The sequence below is a fragment of the Homo sapiens genome, chromosome 14, assembly GCF_000001405.40.
Source record: "Homo sapiens chromosome 14, GRCh38.p14 Primary Assembly".
In the NCBI taxonomy this organism is placed as follows: Eukaryota; Metazoa; Chordata; class Mammalia; order Primates; family Hominidae; genus Homo; species Homo sapiens.
The window spans coordinates 70,014,920-70,034,876 of NC_000014.9; the positions used below are offsets into that span (position 1 = coordinate 70,014,920).

At 50.1% G+C, this 19,957-nt stretch overlaps 1 protein-coding gene across 4 annotated transcripts in view, besides 2 other annotated features; it reads left to right on the plus strand.

Annotated features, from left to right (window-relative positions):
- Window positions 1-17,447, plus strand: part of SMOC1 (SPARC related modular calcium binding 1) — a 152,951-nt gene extending 135,504 nt beyond the window's left edge. For 2 of the 4 annotated variants that reach the window (NM_001425244.1, NM_001034852.3), the window contains exons 11-12: window positions 8,284-8,528; window positions 15,323-17,447. In NM_001425244.1, coding sequence (NP_001412173.1) covers window positions 8,284-8,528; window positions 15,323-15,339 — 262 coding nt within the window. In that variant the 3' untranslated portion in view covers window positions 15,340-17,447. The remainder of the gene's footprint in view (window positions 1-8,283; window positions 8,529-15,322) is intronic. The other 2 variants (NM_001425245.1, NM_022137.6) reach the window with 1 other exon arrangement.
- Window positions 5,893-6,187: an enhancer, noted in NCBI's record as "tiled region #14883; HepG2 Activating non-DNase unmatched - State 15:Elon, and K562 Activating non-DNase unmatched - State 24:Quies". NCBI's record gives its function as "activates a minimal TATA promoter and a strong SV40 promoter by Sharpr-MPRA in HepG2 cells, with weaker activity in K562 cells {active_cell/tissue: HepG2 | K562}" and the evidence as "EXISTENCE:reporter gene assay evidence [ECO:0000049][PMID:27701403]".
- Window positions 17,593-17,887: a silencer, noted in NCBI's record as "tiled region #1041; K562 Repressive non-DNase unmatched - State 23:Low". NCBI's record gives its function as "represses a minimal TATA promoter and a strong SV40 promoter by Sharpr-MPRA in K562 cells {active_cell/tissue: K562}" and the evidence as "EXISTENCE:reporter gene assay evidence [ECO:0000049][PMID:27701403]".

Below are 19,957 nucleotides of genomic sequence, written 5' to 3' on the forward strand. Positions count from 1 at the left end.
TTAGGGTAGGAGTTTAGGGCTCCAAGTGGAGCTGTCGACGTTTCTGCATCCTGAGGCAGAAGAAGGCAGCCATTTTGAAAACCCAATTTTATATCAAATCAAAGTGAGTGCACACAATAGCCAAGATATGGAAACAACCTCAATGCCCATCAATGGATGACTAGATAAAGAACATGCGGTATTTGTATACAGTGGAGTAATATTCAGTCTTAAAAGAGAGAGAAATCCTGTTATATTGGGGGCATTATGCTATGTGAAATGAGCCAGTCACAAGCACAAATGCTGCATGATTCCACGTACATGAGGTACCTGAAACAGTTAGACATGTAGAAGCAGAGAGCAGAATGGTGGTTGCCAGGGGTTTGGGGAGTTGCTAACCAATGGGTGTCAAGTTTCAGCAAAGCAAGATGAATGAGTCCCAGAGATCTGCTGTCCAACATTGTCCTTATAGTTAACAGCACGGTGCTATACACTTAGATGTTTGTTAACAGGCTAGATCTCCTGTTTAATGTTCTTACCACAATAAAATTAACAACAACAACAAAAAAAAAACGAAAGAAGAAAAAAGAAAAAAGTGAGTGCAGTGGTTGCCCGTCTTGGAAACTGCTTGTTGGGGTGCTTGCCCGGAGCCCCCCATGGTCCCGTGAGCTCTGAGGCTGGTTTCTGGCTGTGGCTCTGTTTCTGCCGCCCCTGTGGGTGGGGGCCAGGCCTCCTCCAGGAGGAGCACAGCACTAAGTCTGAGAAAGATGAAGACAGGGTTCAACAGGCCCACAGACGGGAGCTGCTGGAGGCGGCCTGTGGCACTCAGCTGCTCAGTCTCCGAGATAGAGAGGACAGCACATCCAGATCTCCAAGAAGAGGGGAGAAGGTGAATTTTGAAAAGGCAGTATTGTTGGCCTTGATGTTACTTGTGTTTAGAATATGAAAAAAATACCTGTTGTTTCATGCAAAAACAGGCATGAAAGATTTATGTTTTATGTTTATATTTATGTTTAGAAGAGAGAGAAAAAGGGAAAAAGGAAAAAAAAGGAGGTCCGTGGGCTTAAAAGTTTCTGGTCTGGGGTCTTCCCACTTACACCTTCCTGCAGGCTCCTGGCACTGCCCCCCAGCTCAGGGGTCCCACCTGCACTTCTGCCTGAGTCCTAAGGAGGCAGGACTTCAAGCTCCTCTTGGTTGCTTTCCCAAGAGCACTGCGTGGGCTCTGCCGCAGGTGGGGGACGCAGATGGGCCCTGCTGCCAGGGGAAGGTAGGATTTGTGCCTTATCCTCAAATGACAGACAGAAGGGATTTTTACAGGCAATGAAAGCTGAGAAATTTATAACTTTTTAATATCAGTGTGTCCTTAGGGAAGAGGATCTTTTTTCCATTCTATTTTAAGCGTCATTTAGAGTTGGAAGAGGTTTTTCAAAAAAATTGTTTTCAAAACATGTTTTTCATTTTAAGCTCATATTAGCTTGACCATACTTGGTTTTGATGGGAATGAAGACTTGAACTGCCTTTGGTAGTTATGTTACCTAGAGGATGGACTTTAATCAAAAGACAGACAAGATGCTTCAAGAAATAGTTTAGAAATCAAGGAAGTGGGTGGGGAAAGGGAGAAGAAAGAGAGAAACTGCTATCCAGGAAGGTAGCTGTCAGGATTACCAGTGTAGTAACAGGGTTTAAGGCTGTTCCAGATCTTCCCACTGTATTCAGCATAAGCCCTAACTCTGACCTGGGCTGGCCCTTCAGGACAACTTTGCCGGCCCCACCTCTCCTCACATATTCCTTTCCTTCCCACCATTATGTTCCAGGTACTGGTTCTCCTCAGTTCTGGTTCCTCAAACAAGTCAAGCTCTTGCCTGTTCCAGGACCTCTATGTCAGTTGCTCCTAGAATTCAGTTCCCCATCTTCCAATGACTGGCCCCTGCTTATCTATTTAAATGTCACCTTCTCAAGTACCACTCAATCTGTAGGAGCTGCCTGTTCACCCTGTACCTCAGCACCCCTTTTTAACTCAGCCTAGCATATATCACGGTCTGATATTTTGCTGGCTTGTTGATATATTATCTGTCTCCCTAAACCCAAGGAGAATTTAAGTTCTATGAGAGAAGAAACATTTTCTGTCTTCTTCCCTCCTGTATTCCCAGAGCTTAGACTAGTGTCTGGAACATAGTAGGTGCCCAGTAAAATATGATAAATGAATAAATAGCTAGAGGGACGGGGGATAGATGGATGGATCCCTGTCTCGATAAGACCTCTTTCTGGCACACATCAGAGGGTCAACCAACCACCACAAGACCAAGTATAAGGCTGGAGCCAGCTGTCAAGTTTACTGTGGTGCTATTTTGTAACCAGGGCCCGAGGGTACCCTGGCCAGGACCCAGGGACTTGGAGCGCCATGCAGACAGACCCTGGCCAGTTGTCCCTCTTGTTTGATGGAGGAGCAGAGGTATGAGGCAGCTGGAGGTCAGGTAGCATGTCTGGAACAGGACTGACGAAGACAATTAGGAAATCCAGGCATTCTGAGTTTTGGCCTTGGCTGTGGAATTCAGGCAGAGTTGGGGCTACAGGCATGAGGTTAAGGAAGCCGCATCTGATCCCTCCTTTATCCTCTCAGACTCTAGTAGTTAAAGCTGGACATCAGCTGGGGCCAGGGAAACAGTCTCACTTGGGGACAGTGGGAAAAAGGGATAGAAGATGTTTGGACAGTGCAGAAAAAAGGTGCCTTCCTCCCAGTCTACTTCCTGTCAGGCATGGAGATGTTGGCTTTGCATCAGCTCTCACGTTTCAACCCGCCCCTGGTATGAGCTCCATGCTAGGTTCTGGGGCATCTGAAGAAAAGGGGATCATTTCTGGTCTGGAAGGGAGATACAGAACAACCATATGACTGCAGTATAAAGTCGGTAGGATAATAGAGGCTGAGAAAGTGTTGCAGGGACCCTGGGGAGCCAGAGCATGTGAGGGAAGGCCTTCCATGGGAGCAACAGTGGAGCCCCATCTTCCCTTATGAGTGGGAAAATGCCTGACCTAGATGGACCAGGGGTAAGGGCCTTCCAGCAGAGGGGACCATGTGGGTAGTGAGGTGTGAACAGGGTAGGAAGTGTGGAAGGAATTGTAAGAAGTAGTATGGTTTATGTTTGGGAGTCAGGCTGGGGACAGGTAGGAGATGAGGCTGCAGAGTTGAGCAGAGCCCAGCTGGTGCCAGGCCCTGGGAGTCAAGATGCAGGGCAGAAGGGAGCTGCAGGGTTAGGTGGGCATTTTTGCAGAGTCATCCTGATGGCACTATGGAAGCAGGATTGGAGGGGAGCAAGGCAGGCAGGAAGACGATAGCAAGTGTCAGCATGAAGGGTGATGAGGGCATGGACCGTGGGAAAGGGATGATTTGCTGAAGCTTTTGTAAAGAAATCAATAGGATTTCAAGACTTGCTACATGCAGGGAGTAGAAGAGTGGGAGGCATCTACTCCCTTTTCTGGCCTGATTTATTAGCAAAAAACAGTGCTACAAAGATCTAAAAATAGGCAGAGTAGAATGGGGTGTCTGTGAAAACTCTATGGCAGGTGCGTGGGAGGGTGTGCATTGCAAATATCAATGGATGATAGTCCCTCTTGGTGAATGTTTTCTGTGTGAGTGAGTTATCCCTTTGGCCCCTCTGGCCAGGGCTCCAGGAGGCAGTGTTCCCCCTTAGAACAGCCTTCCCACAGCACCCATTAGCATTTATCAGTCCCAAAGGAAGATTTCTGAGATCTCAGCCGGCAGAGTCTTCTAGAGCAGGGGAACCCTCTCCTGGCTTCACCCTCCCCCAGGGAAAGTCAACTTTGAGGGGAGGTGGGAAGGGCTGTGTGAGCCTCTTGGCCCTTCACGTGGTCCCCTGAGGGGAGACTGTACTGTGGCTTCCTCCTTCCTGCCCAGTGTGGTTGCCTGTTGATGGCTTTGCAAGGAAGAGGCTGGAATGTGGCTGACTTGGCATTTCCCAGCCGCACCCGCACAGCTGGCGGGGCCTGGACCCAACTCCAGACGGGGCTCAGTTGGTCTGCTTGGCTTGGCTAGTGCCTCCAGGCCGTCCCGCCTTACCTTCTCTAAAACTGCTTAGGACAGCAGAACTGGGCCCGAGATCTTGGCCAAAGCAGGTTTCCTTGTGGTAAACGGAGCTGGCTCTCCAGCTGTGCATTGCAGCCAAGGCCTGGTGGGGCTGAGGCTGCAGAAGCAAAACTGAAAGTGCTGTGGGAGAAGTGTAGCCTATGCCACCTCTGAAACTGGGAGAAGGCTCCTTGGGGCCAGTTTGGGGAGGAACTTGGCTCTAGTGGGTTTCCTCATCCCTGGAGGCAGAAGTCAACAGGACAGTCACAAAAACAGCCCAGAGGTAGGGCAGACACCAACGTTATTTGGCTTATGTTGTCTGAACCATAGTCTTCTAAAATCTGGAATCTGGTATCATTTGGGTGTGTCTTTTCATACCATATCCAAGGAAACTTGGATATTGTACCTACCCAGTGAGCCCTTTTAGTAGAAGTAGTACTTTACCCATGGAGAAGTCTGCAGTGTGGACAAGCGAGTGCTGTTACACTGATCCTAAGGAGCTCTTGCTCCCTCTAACTTAGGTCCCCAGCCTTTGCCTGATGACCAGCTTTGAATTCGGCAGTCCTGACCTCCAGTGGAATATATGTGTGCTTGTGTGAGACAGGTTGGGAGCCTGAGGCCAGTGTAATCCTGGAGCTGGGAGGGGAAGGGGCAAGGCTTTGGGCTTTCTTGGGCTATGGCTTTGTGGTTGAGGGGGTCTAACTGTGATGGAAAGTCTCCAGCAAAGACTGCTTGAGAGATTCCTGAAGCTCTGGGGGAGGCCTCCCTGCTCCATGCCTATCCAGCACTCCCCCAGGAAAAATCTCAGATTTTGTTCAGTTAACAGAGGCCTCTTGGGTCTTCTTTTGCACAGACTTACTGCTATGCTAGGACTCCTGCTGGATCTAAGTCTTAGCCAAGAGCTTGTACAAAGCATAGTGGGTACCTGCTGTCAACTTCATCTGTGACTTAAGGCTGTTGCCAGGCCAGAAACTTGATTTACAGAGTTTTTAAATCCATTGCCTTCAATAGTTTTGTTGGAAGTAGGGAAACTATCCCCAAACCCTTCCAGCTACTGTCTTTTGTCTGACTCCATCTTCTTCTTTAAGCATCATGCTTAAATATTCTTCTTGGGCCATGGCTAGAGCCTCCATTCCTCTAGATCAAGGGTTTTGTTTTGTTTTGTTTTTGTCTTTTTTTTTTTTAACCTGAGTCCATGGACTTTGAATGGATTTAGGGAGTCCATTAATCTGAAATCTGCAGACTTCTCTGTGTATGTCCATTTCTCTAGAGAGAGAGCTCACATCTTTGTGTAGGCTCTCAGAGGGTTCACAATCCCTCATGGACTCAAAGCTGAAATTTTCTGCTATTAATGTACTTGGAGTTTGGCCTGGCCAAAGTGTTGGATTCCAAAGATGACCCTAGGGCTACCCAGCTTACAGGTAGAGGTAGGGCTCTCTTATTTAGGGATTTGAGGGTTGTTTTGGCAGCCGAAGGAGTTCAGAAGCAGAGAATATCATGCTAGCTGGGAAGGAGGAAGGAAGGCAACAGGACCCTCGGGCCTCACAGGGCAGGCTGTGAGTCATGCCAGTGTTAGAGGGAGCCCAGAGGCACTACCTGGAGGGGCTCAGAGGATCTCTCCTGAGGAAGTGAATGCTGCACATCTCAGCCCAGTGGCTCAGCTGGGAGCCAGGCAGGGTGGGGGGCAGCAATCAGAAGTCGTGGCTGCCCTGCACTGGGAGGCCTTGATGGGAGTGAAGAGAGTCAAAATGTTGTTCTTCTGGCAAGGAGATGTCAGGAAGGGAAAATCAGAAGAAAGGCAGGGAAAGGGGCAGGAGTCAGATGATGGTCACTCTCAGGCATGGAAGGAAACTCTTGGAGGTTGTAAAGTCAGAAGAAGAACTGCTTCTTGCTGCAAAATAGCCCAAAGGAGGGTGGCAGAGCTCTATCAATGGAGTGGCTGAAAGCTGGACAGGCGGGAGCCCCAGAAACACGTGTTGGAGGGAGTGCGCCTCCCCTGGCAGGGCCTCTGGGTGGGATGACCTCATCCCTTCCCGTCTCAGTGACTGAGGCTTTATTATTCCAGCCTCTAGGTAGACATTACGCTATACTGAGCCTAAAGGTTAAAGGAAGAGCTGCCTTTGCCTTGGAACTCTCATGGCTCCCTGGCAGGAGGGGCTGAGCAGGAAGGTCCCTGACTGCCTCCCTCATTGCTTGAGAGAACTGAGTTCCTTCCTTGGGGGCCTTCTGTCTCTGCTCCACAGCCTGTGTCCTCCCTGCTGTTTGGGGAAAGGCAGGGACAGGCAGGTCACTCCCCTACCTGCACCAATAGAATTCCAACAAAATTTTCTGCCTTTGCAGCTGGTATGCACTGCAGGGGCCGTCTTAACAGTGAATATTGCAGGTAAAATAGGGAAAGATGGAAAACACCAGAATACTGTGTATGCTGGCAGAGACAAAATCTGAGTTCTTCAGTGAATAACTTCATGCCTGTTTCAAAGACCTCCTGAGCCTGGTTTCCATGACAGACTAAGCAGATTTCCTAAAAGTTAGAGGCAGCTGGCAGCTCTCCACGGCTCCCTCACACCTTCCGCCAGGTACTCTTTGAGTTAAACCTGTCACGATGAGGTCCCCTTGGCAGATCCACTAATTGCATCCTCCTGGAATCAGTCCAGGATGCCCGGATTACCTGCTCAAGACTGAAATTCAGCTAATTAGGAATAGGCATCTAACAGGGATGGATGACTGGCTTTTTTTCCCCCCGCATAATGGAACTTCTTTTTCCCTGAACTTGGACGTTACTTGGTGGGGTGGAAGAGGAGGGAGTTTGCTGGCTTGTTCACAGGGGAGGGGTCAGAGATTATCTCCCTTCTGGAAAACTCAGCAAACCCCAGAGAAGTCAGGGTGGCATGACAAGTGCCTTGAATAGTTTCCCCACCAGGAACAGCTTCAGAATGTGCAGACAGGCCTTCGACCCTGATCTAGGATCCCTCTGGAACAGTGAGCCCTCTGCCCCACTTCTGACCTCTGGTAGTCATGTGCTCTGTCCCAGCGCCCTGCACACTGAGGATGTGAATGTGTGGGACTCCCAACATCAATCTTTTTCTCCTTCCCCAGGGGAAGTTGCACAAGGGCCTAGATCACAGTCACTCAGTGCCAAGCCCTGGGAACAGGAGCCATGGGGCTCATGGGGTTCCATTCTCCTCGTTAGTGAACCCAGGCAGCCCCTCTGTAATAGACCCATTATTGGCTTTAAAAATTGTAAATAGTAGTTATCACCCTGACTCCGTTTTGGGAGAAAATAGGAGACAGTTAAGTAAATAACATAGATGAGTAGGCCATTACATACAGTTACACATGTAGACGTAGATGTTGGCCTTGTAACTTGATGAGGGGCTGTGTTAGATGTGCTTGTGACTCTGCCTCTGGATGCCAGGAAGTGTTCTTGGTGACTCTAGTCCAGCATTTCTCAGCAGAATCACCTGGCAGTGCTGGTGAATACATGGTTTCCTGGGTCCACCCCAGATCCCCTGACTAAAACCTCAGGCTGGAGAGACTCATCCCCAGTAGGTCCCGGCTTTTCCAGTTTTGGAACTTCTGTTGGTGTCTGACCCAGTTGCTTTCTTCTCTCAATTCCCACTGCACTGGATGTCCAGCAGTGATGGACCGTGGGAACCTCACACCCCACATTCAGTTGTCATGACTATTTTCACCTTTTTGGCTCTGTCTCATAGAGACAGTGAGCCACTTGAGGCCAGGGGTGCACCCTCCAGGGCCCAGACTGGCACTGGGCGTACAGTGGATGCTCAGAGCACCTTCCCCACAGTCAGTCCACCACAGGGCACATGTTTACGTGTAATGAGCAGCTTGTCCGCAGTGAGTGCTAGGCCAGGGGAGGGACAATTTGGATTCCAGCTCTGGTTTATTCAGCAAATTAGATCAAGCCAATTTGTCTTGAGCACCCATCATGTACAAGAACATTTCTGGCTTTGGTAGAGGGTGAGTCATGTTTGTGTAATAAGGATTACCCACCTGGGGAGTCCTGAGAAAAGAATGGTCCAATCTTAGGATTTGAGTCGGAGAGGATGGCTTAACGTTGCCACAGGCTGAGCCGCTGTGGGTGGACTTTGGCTTGGAGGAGCCGTTTCTACCTGACTTTCTGGGGGCAGTCATACCAGGGCTGATGGTTCCTGCAAGATCCTGATTGGTGTTCTCTGCGGTGGGGGTGTTTGTCCATGGCCCAGGTTCTCAGAGCCAGACCCCAGCCACACCCTGGAGGAGCGGGTAGTGCACTGGTATTTCAGCCAGCTGGACAGCAATAGCAGCAACGACATTAACAAGCGGGAGATGAAGCCCTTCAAGCGCTACGTGAAGAAGAAAGCCAAGCCCAAGAAATGTGCCCGGCGTTTCACCGACTACTGTGACCTGAACAAAGACAAGGTCATTTCACTGCCTGAGCTGAAGGGCTGCCTGGGTGTTAGCAAAGAAGGTGAGTGCTCTCCCCTGTGCTCCTGGCCTTTCAATACTTGCCCCCACCCAGGCATGGGACCAAGGGCTCTCTGATAAATGAGATTCCAGATACTCATCTATTCATCAATTATTTGCTGGAAGTGTGCTATGCTTCATGCTAGATGTTTGAGACAGTGGTGGAATTGACTGATAAGGTCCCTATCCTTGCACAGAAGACAGAGCTTAAATAAGCACTCACATGAGCTGTGATACATGCTGTGAGAGTGTGCTAGGGTGGGCCAGGCTACAGTCACAAGTAGACCCATACATCATGGCTTGACACAGTGGAAAATTTTTCTTTCCCATATAATAGTTCAGCATGGTCGCAGGTTGTAGGGTGTGTGTGTGTGTGAGTGTGTGTATGTGTGTGTGTGTGTGTGTGTGTGTGTAGGGGTAGGAGTAGGGGCAGGGATTGCTCTATGCAGTCACTCTGGGATCCAGGCTGAGAGTGACTCTGCCATCTTCATCATGTGGCTTCCAAGGTTACTCTGGGGGTCATCTCCATCCTCAGTCAACCAGATGGAGTAGACATGAAGCAGTGCATGTGAGGGAGTTTCATGGGCCAGTCCTGGAAATGACACTCATTCCTGCTGGTATTTCACTGACCAGAGCTCGGTCACTAGGAAGGCTGGGTTTTATGGGCCAGCCCTGGAAATGACACACATTCCTGGTCATAATTCATTGGCTGGAACTCAGTCACTAGGGGAAGGGAACCCAAGAAGAGAGCAGCATGAATTCTGGTGAACACCTAGTAAGCTCTGTCACAGCAGGGCAAGTGCAGAGCATTGTAGCAACATATATAGGGGCACCCAAGACTCTAAGGGACAGACAGCCTTGAAAAACTTTTGAAGGAAGCGATGCCTAAACCAGGGCTCAGCAAACAATGGCCTGAATGCTCAATCTAGTCTGTGGCCTGTTTTTGTACAGCCTGTGAACTAAGAATGATTTTTGCATTTGTAAAGAGCTGTAAGTTTTTTTTGAAAGAAGAATATATAAGAGGGACCGTATATGGCCCACAAAGCCTAAAATATTTACTATTTAGTCTCTTGCAGATAAATTTGCCAACCCATGGTCTAACCCATTACTGGAAACATGAGTAGGAGATGGCCAAGCAGAGAGGTCAGGAGAGGGAAGAGTGTTCTAAGCCAAGGCAAATGAGGAGTGAAGCTCTGGAGGCAAGGAAACAGTTTTCAATGAGCTGAAGGATGTTTGTGTGACTGAAATGAATATTTTAACAGTGGTAGGAAGAGCAGGGGTGGTGACAAGAGGCAAGGTGAAGTTGGAGAGTTTTTAAATTCAGGTGAAAGACTTTAGACTTTATAAGGGTAGTGGAAAGCTGTTGAAGGCGTTCAGAGAATTGATAGTATCAGTTTTTCTTTAAAAAGTATTCTGGTTTCAGGGTGGGACATGGATTGGAAATGAGCAAGGCAGGGTCATCCAATAGGAGGCATGGCACAGTCCAGGCTAGAGTGATGGAGGGCCAAGTTATGAAAACACAGCAGGGTAAGGGGAATGGAGAGAAGTGGGTGATTGGAGATCAAGTTAGGTATGGGACAAAGGTAGGTTTGTTCAGCTGGAGGCATGGCTGCTCACTGAGATGGGCAACATGGAAGGAAGAGCAGGTTAAGTATAGAGGGATGTAGAGGGTGCCCAAGTATGGTTTGGACACGTTGAGTTGGATGCACATGAAGGATGAGTGGCTCTGTAATGCAGGTGAAGGGTCTGAAGATGCAGATTTGGGTGATGCCGACTTATTTGAAATGGAAGCTTTGGAAAAGCTGAGATTTCCTAAGGAGAGAGTTTAGCAGAAGAAGATAAAAAGGCCTTTTCCTTGTTCCTCAGTTGTCAGAGTAAACCCAAAGAATAGCATGGGAAATGGATGGGTTCCCATAGGAACCTGGGCTTGGGATCCACTTCCCACCGCCCGCCCCGCCATGGCTGGTTTCTGGCCTTGGTTCTGGGGCTTACTGGTGTGTGACTGACTTCATTACTCTGGGCATGCCTGTCTGACGCGGATGCTTCTCTGTTCCCATAGTACTCTGAGTCTCCAGGACTCAGCAATGAGTCAATGGTTCAAACCCTGCCTCTGTCCCGGCCTCGCTCTTTCACTACATGCGGCTTGAGTGTCCCTTATCTGAAATGCTTGGGACCAGAAGTGTTTGGAACTTTTTCAGATTTTGTAATATTTGCATTACACTTACTGGTTGAGCATCCCAAATCCACAAAATCTGAAATCCGATATGCTCCAGTGAGCATTTCCTTTGAGCATCATGTCAGCACTTAAAAGGTTTTGGATTTTGAAGCATTTTGGATTTCAATTCAGTACAAATTACTGAACCATTCTGCATTTCAGTTTCTTCACCTGCTTAATGGGAAAAATGCTAGAGTCTATCTCATAGGACTGTTGTGCTGATTAAATGGGACAGTGAGTTAAAGCATTCCCAAAGTTCCTGAGAAATTGAAATAACTCAATAGAAGTTCAATACTACTATTCTTCTTTGTAAGATGAACTTACACTGTGTTGCAGTTTACTCTTCCGATTACCCCTTGAAGCCAAAAGGATTCTCTCTCTCAATTCCTAACCTCTAGCACCGTACATGGCACCTGGTAATTCATTAAGTCCTTGTTAGATGAATGAATAAGTGAAGGAATGAATGGATGGGGGGGTTGCCCCTTCCGGTGACATTATGCTCTGACACGCTTGGAATTTGTGGTCCTTTCGCAGAGCACAGTCAGATGGCCAATGTCGGGAAGAGACCATCCAGTGTCAATGTAGACCCCAGGCATACCAGGGGCACTCCTGGGCTAAGCGATGATGCTCTGTACTGCCCCTGCCTTCGGCCCCCTTCCCGTGCTAGTAGTTCTGGTCTGCACAGCACACGGAAGCCAAGCAATGGCTGAGTGTGGTGAGCTCAGATCCACCGAGCTCAGGGACTCCTCCTAGCCTTCCTCTGAAGCCTTTCCAGGCACCAGGTGTCTGCCAGTCCCAGCTGACATACAGGACCTGACAGAAGCATCCAGAGAAAACTGAAGTAGAATGTAGATTTAGGGATCCCTGGTCATCTGGATGTTCCTCCTCAATCCAGGCTCAGCTGCAGACAAGTGTTAGTTTCAGTTATCCTCATAGCTTTGCCCACAGAGGCCCCTAGGGTGCTTTGGAGTGCAACTGTCATTCTTCTTGGCCCAATACACCCTCTTGAACCTCTCACCTCAAAGGTAGGACTATGGAAAGTCTGGCCAGAAAGCCCGTGTCTGTGACATGTCTCTGAATGTATATACACATGTCTGTTTGTGCATGTCTCTGTGGGTAGGCCTGAGTGTGCACCTGTCTGTGTTCATGTCTGTGTCTGTTTGTACATGGTCTACACTTATGTCTTTAAGTATGGCTATGTGTGCATGTCTATACACATGTGTGCATGCATTGTGCATATGTCTGTGTATGTCTGTGCATGTGTCTGCATATGTGTGTGTATGAGTGTGATGGAGTGAGGGAGAGTAGAACATTGAGATAAGAGGAAGAGGGTATGTAGGATTAATCAATGGGGTGGGGTGAAGTGGAGGCTGAGTAGACTTAAAGCCTATGCAGAGGCAGAAAGGATTCCTGTGTCCCCACTCTCCATTTCAACACACACCACAGGACACACTGCTCTGGACCCAAGCAGCCCAGAGCTAGAAGGCTCTGTGGGTCCTCTAGTCCATTTTGCAGTCTAGGAGTCAAGGCTAGCCCAGAGAGGAGTAGCGATTTGCTCAAGGGTACATGTGAGGTACCACCACTGCTGGCGCTTGGCCCAGCCTCAGGATTCCTGGGCCAGACTGCTGTCCCCTCCAGGAGAAGGACCCCAGTGTGTTTGAAGATGTCGCCTTGTGTGAGCAGGCCAGTCTTGGTTGCCTGGTGAAGCCAAGGGAGTGGCCAGTGGGGGAGTCTGGGGAAGAGGGGGAGCAGACCAGCCTGGGGGCAGCGTGGGCAGGAGTAGAGGTGTTGCAGGGGGTGAGGGTGCCACCAGCAACCTGAGTGGGGAAGCCCACAGTTTCCAGGCAGGCAGTGCCTATGGGATGACGGACCACTATTGAGAGGCCCAGGAGCAGTGTGGGTATACCATGATCAGGCACAAGTAGGGGCTGGAGTAAGTGCAGAGGCCCTGAAGTCAGATGGGCCTGGCTTGATTTTAATCCCAGCTCTGACAATTACCGGATCTTTAATCCTTGGCAAGTTACCTAAACTCTCTAAGCCTCCGTTTCCCCATTTGCAAAGTGGAGATTATAGTACCTACCTCAACGATTTGGTGAGGATGTAATCAGATAATGTGTGTGAAGAACTTAGCACGGTACCTGGTACATAGCGAAGGCACAAAAGAAATTGGTAGCGGTAGAGGAACATGTCCGGGAAAGAAGGTATGAGTTTCAGAACTGCCCCCTCCATCCCTCTGCTCTGCAGGGCGGCAGAAAAAAGCCCCTGTGGTCAATGGTGTGCAGGGGCTCCGGGAGCAGAGCCTATGCGTCGGTCATCCATCCCGTGTCGTGCGGTGCCCCCTGGTGGGCTGCGAGGGGCTTGCATGCTAGGTGGGGACAGAAGCTGGCTGGGGGAAGGATGCCGAGCTTGGGGACCAGTAGAGTTTTGGGTCCAAGGGACTGAATTTTTGGAAATTCCACTGGATCACAGATATTTTACCAACCAGACTCCTCCCTGGAGAGCTGAATTCTCTGCATAACATGCCTCTTTCTTCACTTTCCCAATTTATAAAGCACCTTCACTGGGATCATTGTCACTGTCCTGTGAGGCAGGCGGGGTGGGGTCTAGTGCCTCCTTTTCTCAGAACTATCCGCTCTTCTTTTGCCTTGTCTGAGGATGCCAACTGCCTGGGGCTCAGCCTTCTTCTCTTCCATCCTCCCTGATGGCTCAGAGCATGATTCTGGAGGCAGCTAGCTAGGTCGGAATTTGCTTTGCCGCATGGAAGCTGTGCCATCCTGGGTGGGTTACTTGATATCTCCAAGCTTCAGTTTCATCATCCTAAGATGGAGATAATTTTATCACTCTCAAATAAAGTCGCTCTGAGGATTAACTGATAGGACTTAGGTAACAGGATTAGCACATAAGCCTCCATGAAAAAGAGCTGGTTACGGCTAGCTGTCCATTTTGCTTCACACATCTCAGCCTGGTGGGCAGGACTGCTGTGCACCTCCTTTTTAGATGTGCTGACCTTTCTACTCAGCAAGGAGAGAAGCAGCTGCTGGAGGGAGTGGAGGAAAGGTGGGATTTGAAGTCAGCAGCCTGACTCTGCCGCTTCCCACCTGCCTGCCTTGGGGCTGTCACCTTCTTTTAGAGTTCATGTCCTCCTCTGTAAAATTGGATAAACCGATATCCACCCCACGCCCACTCCACCCCATGTCCGCTCTCCTTTCTTCAGTTGTAAGGAATATTGGCATAACCCAGGGGACATGGAGCTGTGGCTCACATGACCAGCGGGTGGGCTTGGGTTCTGCAGCGCTGTACACTCCTCAAAGCCCTTTCTCCTCCTCCATGAATTCAGTGGATCCTCAAGGCAATTCTGAGAGGGAGGCAGAGCAGAAGCCGTACAGCTGTGGTTCTAGCTCCCAGGCTGTAGACTGACCCAGAGAGGTTCAGGGGCATGCACAGAGTCACGTGGCCCTAAGCATCTCGGAGTGGTGGCGGGGGGCAGCTCTTGATGTGCTTGCCCCCAGCTCCTCGCTCCTCTTCAAGAGGCCAGGACCTGCTGGAGCAGGCGTGGCAGTTTCCACAATGGCTCAGCACCCTGTGGGGAGATGTGGGTGTCAGCAGAATGAGGCTGGGACTTTGTGTAAGTCGCCCCTCTGCTCTGAGCTGCTGCTGGATTCCTTCTACCTCTGACATTCTGTGACTCGGGGAACCAAGACCTGGGACAGTTCTGTCCAGGTACATCAGCACCAGAGCCCTTCTTAGTGGATAGCTGAGGGATTGCAAAGAGGTGCCCAGCAGGAGCCAGGCCTTATGGAAAAGGGACTTTGTGTGAAGGCGTTGGCCAGTAATAAGTTCACCTGAGCCATAGACACTCACAGAGCAAAAAGTAGGGCCAAACAACTTTTTGCTCTTTCCCAAGTCTGCTCTTTATTCTGAGGGTCAGAGAGGACAGAGACCCAGCATACGGAAGAAGGTGCCAGTTCTCTGGTCAAGGCCACTCAATGTCACATGTTCCTGGTTTGTTGCAGGTGGTAGCCTTGGCAGTTTCCCCCAGGCAAAATGAGCAGGCACAAACCCATTCAGTAAGTTGCCCCTTTCTGGGCTCCTCAGGGGTGAAGGGATTGGCCAGGTGACTTAAGCTCCCATTTTCAGGTTGTTTGCTGAGGACACGAGAGAACTATTGGGTCAGTGCCAATGGGATTCTGCCATCCCCACCTGTAAACAAACCCCTGTCGTTTCCACCCCAGCCCCAGGTTGAAAAGCTGGCATGTGAGAGTAGTGTGATCTGAACAGAGTGCACACCCTGCAACCCACACTTCCCTAGGCCAAGCCTCGTTCTCTCCAATGCCAGACTTATTTCAGTTGCAGTGGTGGTGCCTCATAGTGGCAAAGGACAGGCTGGTAAAACATGCTCATCTGCAAGTCCAGGCAACCTGTGCCCCACCTAGCCTCATAGAGGACAGCAGGTGGAAAAGGCTGCACTTGTGGGGAAATTGATGGACATAGCTGGATTTCTCACAAGCCCAACTCTAACTTCTTGCTTATATCTGCCCCCGACCTTTTTTTTTTTTTTTTTGCATTCTCCTTCCTTCTCTCAGTAGGACGCCTCGTCTAAGGAGCAGAAAACCCAAGGGCAGGTGGAGAGTCCAGGGAGGCAGGATGGATCACCAGACACCTAACCTTCAGCGTTGCCCATGGCCCTGCCACATCCCGTGTAACATAAGTGGTGCCCACCATGTTTGCACTTTTAATAACTCTTACTTGCGTGTTTTGTTTTTGGTTTCATTTTAAAACACCAATATCTAATACCACAGTGGGAAAAGGAAAGGGAAGAAAGACTTTATTCTCTCTCTTATTGTAAGTTTTTGGATCTGCTACTGACAACTTTTAGAGGGTTTTGGGGGGGTGGGGGAGGGTGTTGTTGGGGCTGAGAAGAAAGAGATTTATATGCTGTATATAAATATATATGTAAATTGTATAGTTCTTTTGTACAGGCATTGGCATTGCTGTTTGTTTATTTCTCTCCCTCTGCCTGCTGTGGGTGGTGGGCACTCTGGACACATAGTCCAGCTTTCTAAAATCCAGGACTCTATCCTGGGCCTACTAAACTTCTGTTTGGAGACTGACCCTTGTGTATAAAGACGGGAGTCCTGCAATTGTACTGCGGACTCCACGAGTTCTTTTCTGGTGGGAGGACTATATTGCCCCATGCCATTAGTTGTCAAAATTGATAAGTCACTTGGCTCTCGGCCTTGTCCAGGGAGGTTGGGCTAAGGAGAGATGGAAACTGCCCTGGGAGAGGAAGGGAGTCCAGATCCCATGAATAGCCCACACAGGTACCGGCTCTCAGAGGGTCCGTGCATTCCTGCTCTCCGGACCCCCAAAGGGCCCAGCATTGGTGGGTGCACCAGTATCTTAGTGACCCTCGGAGCAAATTATCCACAAAGGATTTGCATTACGTCACTCGAAACGTTTTCATCCATGCTTAGCATCTACTCTGTATAACGCATGAGAGGGGAGGCAAAGAAGAAAAAGACACACAGAAGGGCCTTTAAAAAAGTAGATATTTAATATCTAAGCAGGGGAGGGGACAGGACAGAAAGCCTGCACTGAGGGGTGCGGTGCCAACAGGGAAACTCTTCACCTCCCTGCAAACCTACCAGTGAGGCTCCCAGAGACGCAGCTGTCTCAGTGCCAGGGGCAGATTGGGTGTGACCTCTCCACTCCTCCATCTCCTGCTGTTGTCCTAGTGGCTATCACAGGCCTGGGTGGGTGGGTTGGGGGAGGTGTCAGTCACCTTGTTGGTAACACTAAAGTTGTTTTGTTGGTTTTTTAAAAACCCAATACTGAGGTTCTTCCTGTTCCCTCAAGTTTTCTTATGGGCTTCCAGGCTTTAAGCTAATTCCAGAAGTAAAACTGATCTTGGGTTTCCTATTCTGCCTCCCCTAGAAGGGCAGGGGTGATAACCCAGCTACAGGGAAATCCCGGCCCAGCTTTCCACAGGCATCACAGGCATCTTCCGCGGATTCTAGGGTGGGCTGCCCAGCCTTCTGGTCTGAGGCGCAGCTCCCTCTGCCCAGGTGCTGTGCCTATTCAAGTGGCCTTCAGGCAGAGCAGCAAGTGGCCCTTAGCGCCCCTTCCCATAAGCAGCTGTGGTGGCAGTGAGGGAGGTTGGGTAGCCCTGGACTGGTCCCCTCCTCAGATCACCCTTGCAAATCTGGCCTCATCTTGTATTCCAACCCGACATCCCTAAAAGTACCTCCACCCGTTCCGGGTCTGGAAGGCGTTGGCACCACAAGCACTGTCCCTGTGGGAGGAGCACAACCTTCTCGGGACAGGATCTGATGGGGTCTTGGGCTAAAGGAGGTCCCTGCTGTCCTGGAGAAAGTCCTAGAGGTTATCTCAGGAATGACTGGTGGCCCTGCCCCAACGTGGAAAGGTGGGAAGGAAGCCTTCTCCCATTAGCCCCAATGAGAGAACTCAACGTGCCGGAGCTGAGTGGGCCTTGCACGAGACACTGGCCCCACTTTCAGGCCTGGAGGAAGCATGCACACATGGAGACGGCGCCTGCCTGTAGATGTTTGGATCTTCGAGATCTCCCCAGGCATCTTGTCTCCCACAGGATCGTGTGTGTAGGTGGTGTTGTGTGGTTTTCCTTTGTGAAGGAGAGAGGGAAACTATTTGTAGCTTGTTTTATAAAAAATAAAAAATGGGTAAATCTTGGCGGCTGTTGCCTCTTTCTTTGGGTGGCTTCCTTTAATGAAAAGGCTTTATTTCCTAGAAAGCTTAGTTCGTTTCCCTGGCCTGGGTGCTCTCCACTTCCATCCAAGGACATCTGAGGTGCTGCCAATGATGAACCTAGCAGGGGACCCGGAAGTGGCCAGTGTGGTACTGCACCTAGAGAGGGGACTCCCTTGCTAAAGGTGTTTGTGCACTCTCTGTAATTCTTCCTCTTACCTCCACCCACATGTCTGCCCCACGGGATGCCCCTCCCTGACTGCCATTCCCTTCCTCTCACTGGAATGTAGGGAATGTTGCTGGCAGAGCTTTGGGGGCAGGGCTTGGGGAAGAGCCTATTCCATGGCTTCAGGCTGTTGAAAGTGGGTACATTGCCATCATCCAGATGACAAGACGCCAGGCTGAAATGTAGCCATAGGTGGGGAGCAGACCCCCAGTGGAGTTTTTCAGCCTGTACCCCAGTTTTGTGGGGTATCTATTCTGGCTGAGGCTGCAGGTCTGGTTTGCAGAGCTGGAGAACTCCCAGACGAGGATTGGCAGCAGGGGTGGAGATTCTAGGTTTTCTCCAGCGTGACCGGCCTCTTTGCCTTTTTCCCTGTGTGCACACACAGCTGTCCCTGGAAATGACCGCCTCAGCCATCCCCTTGGGAACCTTCTCCAGATTCCTTGTGCCACACTCTGCCCCCTTGTCTTTGCAGGTGAACAGAAGATAATTCCCCTTGTAAACCTCTCCTCCAGCCTTTGCTCCAGCTAGGCTTTCTTGCGACAGGGTCTAAGCCCCGGAATTTGATCACGCAGGCCACTCCTTGTCCAGGGCTTGTCCTTCCTTGCAGCTCAGAAGAGAGGACAGGTGGTTCACGGCACACTTACCGAGTGCCAGACACTGCGTGCTATGTATACAGGCCCTGTCGTATGTATGTAGTACCACAACCCAGTGACACAGGCGTCATTGTTCCTATTTCTCAAGTGTGGACTCAGACTCAAGAGTTCAGTGTCTTGCTGGGGTCACCCAGCTGGAAAGGCAGAGCAGGAATCATACTTAGATTTTCTGACTCCAGGCCTGGAGCTCTGCCTACTCCTCAGCTGCCTTCCTTGAAGGGTTAGAACTGCAACTGTCTCCTTCCTGTCCAGCTTGGGTCCTGGTGGGAGTTCCATCCAGCAGTGAGTGCATTTTTTCCCCAGAGCAGTTAAGGGTCTTATTAAAAGCCACCACTTTGCTGAGGCCTGTACAGGCCTTGGGGGTTTGGGGAAGAGAAATAAGGCAGGCACTTGTCCCTTCAGGGAGGGACTTGTCCCTCACTGGGAGGTTTGGGGTTGACCTTGGCTCCAGCAGAGATACCCAGCCTGGCGTGGAAGGGGCAGGTCTGAGCTTACGCTTGACTGCAGGGCAAGCTGCAGGCCTCTTCTGCCTTCCCCTGCATTCACCAAGGACAGTAGGACCAAGAGTCAAGGAAAAGTGCAAGATAGATCTATCCCATTTCTTCCTCCACCTGGAGATTCCTGAGCTATGCTCAGCCTCTGTGGGGCAGGGAAGACTGGGGACATTTTTAGTCAGGATGCTGAGAAGTAATTCCTGCTGGGGCCAGGCATCTTTTCAGGGCTGCTGTGATGCCAACAAAGAAGGGGCCCCAGGCCCATCCTTACTCCTGGTCCCCAAAAGGATCCAAGTGGGATGGGAAGCTGGCAGCACCAACCCACTTGTAGATTAACAACAACAACAAAACACCAACAAATAAAAAAAAGCAAAACAACAACAACAAAACAAAACAAAAACCAAAAACTAAAAAACCAAACCAAAACCAAAAAGCCCTGGATCACCAGGCTGTTCATCTGGCTATTTACTCCCAAGTTCCTGAAAGACCTGCAAGGCCACAGTTGTGCCCACCAAGGAGGCTGAAGACCTTCCCAGGCACCATGACCTTCTGGTCTGTGGTGTTAGGCCTTTTTCTACTACACAGGTGGAAATAGGTGAAGCTTGATCTTTTCATGCAGCACTGCCGAATCAAGCTCTCAACCCTAGGGCCTGGATCAACATTCCCCTTTGTGTGCCTTTCATGAGTTGATAAGGAAAAGGGCCATGACCTTGGTTCCATGCCTGCCTACTCCTGCAAGTGTCTGTGCTATGTATGGGGCACAAGTCTCTCTTGTCATTTCTCGTCAAGTCTTGGTGGGGCACTCTGGCCAATTCCTTCTATTCCTCTACGCCACCCCCAACCAACACCTCACCCAAGCAGCCCCTGCTCCCTCTCCTGCTCTGCACTGCCCCTTTTTCCTCTGTCAGGATGCACTCTGTGAAAGCTGTCTTGCCTGTATCCTCCTAGCCAGAGCGCTAACTCTAGCTACTGGTCGGTGGTCCTGTATGTAGTACCCCAGACCAGGCCTGTCTACAAGTCCAGGGCAACCCTGAGAATTCACACACTTGATGGTCACATGCACTGCATACTTGGATGTGGTCTCTCCACACAGTGATGGACACGTTGCTCAACTGCTCATAA